Source organism: Homo sapiens, chromosome 4 (assembly GCF_000001405.40).
Source record: "Homo sapiens chromosome 4, GRCh38.p14 Primary Assembly".
Lineage (NCBI taxonomy): Eukaryota > Metazoa > Chordata > Mammalia > Primates > Hominidae > Homo > Homo sapiens.
In genome coordinates, this window is record NC_000004.12 from 177584495 (window position 1) to 177594519 (window position 10025).

The 10025-nt window shown below is 33.5% G+C and overlaps 1 long non-coding RNA gene across 21 annotated transcripts in view; it reads left to right on the top strand.

The window, feature by feature from the left end:
- The window catches only part of AGA-DT (AGA divergent transcript), a 255397-nt gene that overhangs the window by 141981 nt on the left and 103391 nt on the right, over positions 1-10025 (top strand). For 6 of the 21 annotated variants that reach the window (NR_183786.1, NR_183780.1, NR_183788.1 and 3 more), the window contains one exon: positions 8978-9052. The exons of 12 other annotated variants lie outside the window; for them this stretch is intronic. This is a non-coding gene — a long non-coding RNA (AGA divergent transcript). Of the gene's footprint in view, positions 1-76; positions 3227-8977; positions 9053-10025 lie in introns of those variants that run through there. 3 more of the 21 variants (NR_183795.1, NR_183797.1, NR_183796.1) reach the window with 1 other exon arrangement.

Genomic DNA, 10025 nt, shown 5'->3' on the forward strand with positions numbered 1-10025 from the left:
TTTTTAAATTGCATAGGCTTTAGTTGAGATACGTGGCAGAAACCAATGTTTCCTTCTATTTCTCTGCATTCTCTAGCCTTCCATCTTGTTCTGATTAATGAACTATGAGCAGAAATGACATCAATTCCAGAAGAAGTAGAAGCCAGCAGGTGTGTCTCCACCATCACTGTCTTCTCCTGTGACTTGGGAGGCCTATGTTCCTGATGGCAGAGTAGCAACATGAAACAGGATTTGTATCAGATTTCAGGTGGACCAGAAATACATCTATGTTGTTTTAAGCCATGGAAACTTTGAAGTCTGTCTCTTGCAGAAGCTAAATTTAATTATCCTCAGGAGTATAAGATTCAAATGGTGGTATACATGTTTTGTGGAATCTTCACGTATATGTATATTTGTTTTATAGAATCTTCACATATATGCATATTCAATTTTATATACATGTATGTTTTATAGAATCTTCAAACATTAATTCAGATATTTGTATTCTCTAGAACTCCAGAGTTCTGCAACCTCCCTAAGAATCTCTTCAAAGTAAATTAACGTCATTCATATCTACAGCAAACAAAGGCACCTATATAATGGTTTTCTCAGTTATAGCAAATGTTGGCTTTGACTGCATTTTGACATTAAACATTGTTGATGCCATTTCTGAATCTACTGCATAGTTGTAATCTTAGTTGGAAATACTGTTGGTTACTGGTTGGTCAAGGAGATTAACCCCGGAGTTTGAGACTTTATTCAGAGTTCTTCTTTTGGACTTGAAAAAAAATCTGCTAAGAGAACTTGTCCCATTTTAGGTTATGCTGAAGCATGACAAGATGTACAGAAATATTCTGAATTCTAAAGGAAGCTCAATATTATGTAATCTCAATTTGTAGTATAATGAAAAAAGTGTGAATGAGAAAGTCAAGGAGTAAAGGTGAATTTGATATTCCATAACTTCAGTTTTACTTCTGCTATATATTTCTTTATTAATAGTAATAGAGCACATCGCCAGTCATTTGATAAGGAGTGATTAAAAAAATCCGTTACCGAGAAAAGCTATCCTTTTGAAGTTCTCTCATTTTAAAAAACACAGTTTTAAGTATCAGATTTTTTCTTTCTAAGTTTTAATGTTAACCATGAGCTCATGCTGTCATAGTGGCTTAATAAGAATTACTACTACATATAATGTGAACAAAAACCTTCATGTTTATTTTGATATTCAAAATGCAAAGTTGGACCAAGATAAAACAGTTAGTTATCCAGCTAATAAAGATATAGGTATGATAAGAGATACTTAGACAATGAAACCTCTCATATACTATTGGTAAGAATGTATTCTTCCTGGAAAGCAGTTTGAAAATGCATACGAAAATCTCTAAAAATGTATTCTTTCCCCCATAATCCTAGTTCTCAAAATCTATGCTAAAAGATAATCACAGATATTATAAATGTGTGTATATTAATTTTTCATAGTTCTTAAAAAACTATAAATCACTAAACGCCAAAACAAAGGTCACGATTAAATATACTTTGGTACATTTTGATGATGGCATATTTTGCAGTTGCTAATAAACAATTTTTAAAGATAACTTAAAATATTTAATGGTATGTGAAAATGTTTGCAATATTAAGTTGAAAACCGGGTATCAAACTACATATTCGATGACTCCAATTTAATAAAATTTATGTAGCTACTTTGAAAAAACAATGAACAGAAATACACAGAAATATTAACATCAATTGATGTTGGTAGTGTTTTTTGCTTTATAAATTTATACATATAGAAATGAAGAATATAGACAGACTTATAGAAACTACTAAATTATTAAGATAAGCATCTGTTGCCTTGATTAATGGAAATCACCAAATTCTGCGCCAGCTGTATGGAGTGTGTTGTAGGCCTGTCATCTTTCTGTTCATGCGGTTGCTATTACCTCAGAACAAATGAACAACAACAACAAAACTTTTCATCTTCTCAGACTACCTTACTTCATCTTAGCCACCAAGGACAGTGGAGGTGCCAGCCTCTGTGACAAGCCCTCCCTGCCCCACTTCAGATTGGGTTGTGTATTCTTCCTCGTTACTCCCACTGTGTCCAGCATATTCCCTTACAACGGTAATAAAATGGGATTGATTGCTTGGCTGGGTTCGCCACTGGATTGTAGCTCTGCAGATCTTTGAGGTCTGGAATATCTTTTCCACGTTCTTAGCATTATAGCACAATGACAGGCACACAAATGGCAGTCAATAAATGTTTGTAGACTGAACCATGTTTAAATGACTTACGGCAGTGTGTAATGCAGAGTGAAGTGCTGTCTTGAGGCAGGTTCCATTAAACTCCTGATTTGATTTTGCTCTGGAAATTTCCGGAATCTAAGTAGTCTGAGAGTCCTATATATAAAAAAATATACACATCAACTTTTGCTATTCAAAGATGATTTAGATAATTATAAAAACAATACATTAAAGTAATGTTGTTTTATATTTCAGGAATATTTTTCATTGATATATGAGAGTTTCTGATTAATCTGAATAACTAAATTTAAGCTTTCAAAGCCAGGATGTTAATGGTAGTCTTTAACAAATTGTACCCCCTTTTTAGACTCTGTTATAAATTATAAAGTGCACTGGTACTAAACTTCCCAACTCAAATCACAGTGATGTTTCATAAATTTATTTGATAAGGTTATTCATTAATTTGTGTGAGAAAGACAGTTGTCATGGTAATAGCTTAAAATGAACCGAAACACAATCCTGGTCATGTTTGCTAAAGCAGGTGAATCTGCTCTATTGTGTTGCATTTTTCTAATTTAAACATAACTGAAGCAAAATACAAAGGGAATTTAAAATGAACATTTAGGGGTGTTTTTGCTATATATATATATAAAATAAAGTTTCAAAAATCCCCGAATTTGGAGAGTCTGTTCTATTGGCATACTCGATATTCGCATTCCTGAGTTTTCCATAAAATGCAGATTTTATTCAGAATGATTCAGATCAATGCAACTGGACTTTCGTCTGATTTTCAGAGAATGAGTTAATAAAATGGCTGAGATGTGTCTGGAGAAGAAGGCAAACAGATAAGATTATTTCTGTGTACAAACATGTTATCTTTGATTCCCTACCCAAGCTATTTGGTTTATCATAACTTGCCATGATGATAATTAGGTGACAGAATAAATGAATGTGCTTTCATGGAAGAATGGCAGATGCAAAAAATAATAAAAAAGGCAATACCTGAGCTTGAGTAATTTTATTATTGTGCATTCAGAGAGTTTTGAAATCTATGGAATTCCTGCTGGGAAACAAATTTTCCTCACTGAATGGATCATTAAAAAGTCCATTTACTATAACAAAATGCATGTTCTGAATGTGTATACATTTGAATTTGCAGATTTTTTTCCCTTCAAGTATAGATGCTTGAATTTCATTGATATAATTTAAAAAGAGTGAAACAAATTTCTTAATACTAAGTAGTTTTATTTTTTTGTAAATGTTGCTATGTTCAAATAGCATTTGGCAAAAATCATTGCTTATAGCATTCTGCGTAAGGAAAATAAAATGTAGTTGTCTCTCAAATTGTAAGTTATACCTTATTGTTTACTTGAAAGTTTAGTGCTGTATTTTAAATAAAATATATTCAATGTCTTAGAGTAGCAGTCATCTCTGCATTTTAGAGCCAAAATCTCAAAACAAATCAGGCGTATGTGTGTAAAATATGTGCATATTTTTAACTGCTGCATAAAACACAAATATACATAACATTTTTACATAATCCCAGCCTCTTAACAAATGTTACAGTAAGATACCAATTGGTGAGGTTCAAAAAATTAAGATGTGGATGAAAAATAAAATTCTGCCTCTCAAAAATTGCCTGGAATGCCACTTACATTTTAATTCCAAGAAAACTCAAATATCAATAAGATAATCTTTTTGGATGTTTCACTCATAATGTAAGATATTCAGGTAGTTTTTAATTTGTTTAAATTTTAGGTTTGGGGGTACATGTGAAGGTTTGTTGCACAGGTAAACACGTGTCTTGGGGCTTTGTTGTACATTACATCACCCAGGTATTAAGCCCAGTAAAATCCCAACAAATTCACATATCATCTTATCCATGTGACAGTAAATATCCAAATAAACAATTAAAATTGAGTACTAAATTTTTATAACTTACTCTGTGCGATATTAAATGAGAAAATATTTAGTTACATCCAGGTAATTGACTCAGTTCCTTGTGTCTGGTATGTAACTGTTAAAATTGAAATACAGATAAAGTAGATTATTTAATTTTTGAATTGTGTAAATGTCTGTGTGTACCAAATGAGGAGAAAAGTCACAAAACCCAATTCCCAAATCCTAGGTATTGCATATGAGATGCAGGTTTTAGTTATGCAACAACAATAATGATTTCTCTGAACAGTACAATCTTTAAAAATAACTTTCGGAGTGCTGATTTTCATAATTACAAATAAGTGCAATTTAGCTAGTAATTAAAATGAAAATGTTAACAAAGGCTCTGCATTGATGCCTCATTTGCAAGTACAGGCAAATGTTCTGAGGCGATCTGTCTCCATGCTTAATTCTTACTTGAAAATTTCCCCGAAGATATTCCTTGCCTTACAAAGTGAAGTGAATTGTTTGAAAAAATATTAAAGAGTAATTTTCTATATCATTCTTTAAAAAACTATAATTATTCACAATATCTTAGGGTATAAGTAACAGCATAATAAACCTATTCTGGCAACATTACCCCCTCATCCTTACCAATTCATGTACTCAGATCCACTTTATATGTCTATTCCAGAAAATTTCAAGATGTAGTAATCACTAACAGTAATGTTATCCTTTTCAGACGGTAAAAATTTTAACTTTTTTGAATAATTGGAACAAATGACTTCTTTTAGCCAAGTACACATTTTAATGACCATACATTTTCTTGTTAGCAGACCTGTATATTAGGCATATTTACTACTATACTTTGATTTACCTTGAGATCAAGCTTTGTTCCATTGTCTAAATTTAATAGGTTCAAACATTTTCTTTACAAAAGAAAATGTATTACTATTTTATGAAGAATGTAACCTATGATTTTTCTAATGTTTCTAGTGAATTTTCTTCTGGCTTAAATAATATCTATTAAAATAAAGCAAGTTAAATTAACTTTGCAATCTGATTTCTAGTTCTTTTCTCTAGAGCCATTACAAATGACTTTTACTACAGTTCTATATCATTTATAGTATATCCTGATACATTAAATTTATAGAAAATGTACTCAAATTGATATCTTTTAAAAAATTTTCACTAAAGGGTGTATTCATACAAAATAGAATATGAATTCCACAATATGACTTGTTTTATATTAAAAAATTATTATTTTTAAAAATGTGTTTTGCATTATTTACATCTGGTGAAATTAAAATATGAAAGAAATACGTATCCATGGTTCTTTGGAAAGTGTAGTAAATTTGAGGTCTATGTATGCTTTATTTTAATGTGAACACAGAAAACCGTAGAGGTGATTATTTTTTCCCTTTGGAGATAAAGCAGTTGGGTAATGGATAGCAAGCCACCTGTCTTCTGCTCGGAGAATGTACTCTTGTTGCTCTGGGTTCAGAGAGAATCCCTCCTGGTACCCATTGCCATGTCCTATATTGTAAGTTAATAAAGTTACAGTCTAATGGTCTTTTTGAGTAAAGTACACTTCTGAGTCTCTTTTTGCCCAAAGGGTCTGCACTATTAGTAGAGTCATTCCCAGTGCTCCTTTGATATTTTGCTTTTCTGTCCTTTCTTGTGAATGAATTAGTAAGAACAGTGATATTAACTATTCACTTGCAGTGTTGGTTCCATTGCATTAAGTGGCCAAACATAATTAATTCCTAAAATCTAGTCATTTCCTCTGTCACGTTTATTAAGTCTGCAAAAGCAAAACAAAAACCCCATTTTATTAATACAGAAGTATTTTTTATTTGTTTTGGAGGCTTACTCAGTTTCATCTTTTTCTTTAGCATGCTTTTCTTGTGTAATAAACATTTATTCTCACAGCAACATATTCATTTCAATTATGCTATCAGTTAAATAACTTATTGAATTTGTGTGATCATTTTCCTCCCTCATTTATCTAAATTTGTTAGCGCCTCACGGTTTATGAAGGGTCATAAATAGTTTACTGGATTTATCTTTTCCAATTTTAATCTAATTCTTATTTACCCATGACTGCTGAAGTTATCCAACTATTGTTACTGAGATGATGTTGGGAAATGACAAAGAAAGTATAATTTGATGTACAATTTTGTACAATCTGTATTTTCTTATGCTCCTTCTGTTTTTGTTGTTTTGTTTGGCATTTTTCGAGACAGAGTCTCACTCTGTCACCCAGGCTGGAGTGCAGTGGTGTGATCTTGACTCACTGAAACCTCCGCCTCCCACGTTCAGGTGATCCTACTGCCTCAGCCTCCCGAGTAGCTGGGATTACAGACATGTGCCACCACCCCTGGCTAATTTTTGTATTTGCAGTACAGATGGGGTTTCACCATGTTGGCTAGGCTGGTCTTGAACTCCTGACCTCAAGTGATCTGCCTGCCTTGACCTCCCAAAGTGCTGGGATTACAGGCGTGAGCCACTGCATGTGGCCTCTTATGTTCCTTTTTAAAAGGCATTGAAAAAATGTGAACATTTGATAGTATCCTGTTGATTTTATGAATGTATCTTACTCTTAACATTTTTTTTCTTTAAGATATATCTGTAAATGTTAAGTAGTATTCATATTTTATTAACTGGCTATTTTAAAATTGAACTTTCTTCCCATTTGGTATATAACTAGCATTTTTCCACTTTGTTTTCAGAACCTGTTTCATATCCATGCACTCTGTTCCTCTAGGGTATTAGGTATCTTCATGTTAGAATGTAGGAATTTGCTAGGGAATATTTATTTATTAATTGTGTCCTATATGTTCAACATTGGAAAGTCACTTGGTGATCATCCATGAAAAGTCCTCTTGTTTTCTTTCCAGCTATTACACATTTTATCTATCTAGTCCCCACTAATACAGATCCATTATATCTTTTCCATATAATTTTCCTTGTTTGCCCCAAGTTATCTTCTCCATTGTAAGATCTCATCTGGATTAATTTTGAAGATTGGTAGAAAGTCCTTTCTGATACGTTTTCCATCTACTCTCATCCTGCTAGGCTCTCAGATGCTTACAGTTCCATTATTATTATTGTGTAAGTTAAACACTATTTTGAGTTATTGCTCTCAGTGATCACATAATGAATTATTATCTAAATTTTCTTGCCTTAAAATTTTAAGGGCCACATTATGGAACTGCTGGCCCATATTAAAAATGTGAACTCTGTCTAAAGAACCTTTTACTGGCCAGGCGTGGTGGCTCACACCTGTAATCCCAGCACTTTGGGAGGCCAAAGCAGGAGGATCACTTAAGGCCAGGAGTTTGAGACCAGGCTGGCTAACATGGTGAAACCCCGTCTCTACTACTTGGGAGGCTGAGGTGGGAGAATCACTTGAACCCAGATGGTGGAGGCTACAATAATTATGCCACTGCTCTCCAGCCTGAGTGACAGAGCGAGACTCTGTCTCAAAACAAACAAACAAACAAGAACCTTTTATCACTCTTCAACCAGTGTGCATTACTCAGACTTGGAAATCTTTTTTGTCCTTTCAGGGATAACCCCTACCTCTAGAATTATTTACTTTCTAAATTTGAGTGTGAAAATCTAACGAATAAGATTTGCCTTATTCTCTTTGATCTTTGTGCCACCAAAACTTGTGAATGTTTCATTTATTACTAATTCTCTATATTTGCAAATTGCACATTAAAAAAGGTGAAATCACATTTTTCAAAGGAAATTGTTTAATTTTTATCAATGAACACTTCTTAAAATGAAAAAAAGATGAACTTCCCTTACTTTCATTTCTAAATGTAGTTACATATTTACAGTAAGAGTTTAGGTATACATTTACAATGAGATGATTAACAGAAAGCATTAAATATCCTGAATTGTCAGATGGGAGAGCTTTATCCACAAAAACTCCTTGATCTCTTTTGCCTGTGAGCTTTCTCAGCTTTTGTATCTCATATAATCCACATTTGTTCTAATTTTATGTTGTCTGGAATCCTTTCATGTGTGTTAGATTTGCCTCTTGAGGTAAATGCTAAAGTTTTTTACGATAAAGCTTATGTCACATATTTGTATATTACCTCTATTTCTATATTTTCAAAAAAGTTAATTTGTTAATCAAAAGATTGAACTTGTTAGTTACTAAACAGATTGTCTCTAATTGTTAGACAAAGAATATTTATGTGAGCAATTGACTTTTAGCAATAGCACCATAAAGATAAAGGCATATTAATTTAAACCTTAATTTTTATGGGTAAGGAAAATGATCCATAGAAATTAAATGAACATTGAAAGATGATATGACAAAATTGTTCTTTTAACCTTTTTGAAATGTTCACTTTTTCTAAAATGTGCACTTTTGTACACATTATTCATCTTTAGCATCTTTAGTACTGGATCAGTAGAAATAGTATTTTTTAAATTTTACATGAGTGGCTATTAAAGCATACACTAGGGGTCTTTAAATTATAAAACCTAAACAAGGCCGGGCGCGGTGGCTCACGCCTGTAATCCCAGCACTTTGGGAGGCCGAGGCGGGTGGATCATGAGGTCAGGAGATCGAGACCATCCTGGCTAACAAGGTGAAACCCCGTCTCTACTAAAAATACAAAAAATTAGCCGGGCGCGGTGGCGGGCGCCTGTAGTCCCAGCTACTCGGGAGGCTGAGGCAGGAGAATGGCGTGAACCCGGGAAGCGGAGCTTGCAGTGAGCCGAGATTGCGCCACTGCAGTCCGCAGTCCGGCCTGGGCGACAGAGCGAGACTCCGTCTCAAAAAAAAAAAAAAAAAAAAAACCTAAACAAATGATTAATCTCTCCTAACACTAAAATATTTTAAAATTGATTACTACAGTGCTGGTAATGATGTATACCTGGCAGCTGACCGTCAAATCTTATGAAGGATTAAAACATAAAGTTTGCATTAAAGGTAAGATTTCTATGTATCTTATAACTGTTTCATCTCAGAAAACAATATAACAACTTCCTTTTCTAACAACCAGTATTTCTTTTTTCACAAACATAAATCTGTGAGCTATTAGCAAACACTGAATTGACATTCCATTGAAAAGATACACACTGAAATTTACAGTGTAAAATACATTTTATGTCCTCTTTATGGAAAACACAAACACATACCTACACATGCACACATACACACACTCACACTCACATGGAACTCTATCAACATAGCATAACTAACTGCAAAGTATGTATCTAACTAAAAACATCGTTATGGGACAATGATTCTCTCCTTGACCAAGCTCTTTTCAGGCTCCTCTGAACTCTTCTCAATTAGGCCCTGACTTTTGGGCTTCTGTGTTTATCTCTGCATTGTCCAGCTTTAGCAAGAATCGTGCTGAGCCAATTTATAAAAGCACCCCTCCATCCCCAGTTCTTGGTCTGACTACTCTCTGAATTTTATCACCTGGCCTGCCTTCAGCAAAACTCCTTAGGTCAGCTGAACAAATAATTACCATACCTCCTAGGAATTGTCCATCCAGCAGCCCCTGACTCTGCTCCTTTGCTATAAATCCTTTTTTCTTATTGTATCTGGAATTAAGCCCAGTGTCTCTCACCTGCTACAATCCTCCATTGTAGTAGCCCATTTTGAATTAAGTCTTCCTTATCATCTTTAACAAGTATCTTCAGTAATTTTTCTTTAAGATAAAAATATATTCCAGCAATTCAGTTTTTACACATTTCCTCTTAGATGTTTATCATTCTGCTTTCTTATTAGCAATTAAATCATAAAATATAGTTATATTCACATTTAATATTTGCACACTTACAACATGTAGTCTTTGAATCAATAGCCCTAACACTTAAAATGTGCTTCAGAATGGCCTTTTCTCCTTAAATATGTTTTTCTTAGCCCACTGGATAAAAATGCAAGTTATTGT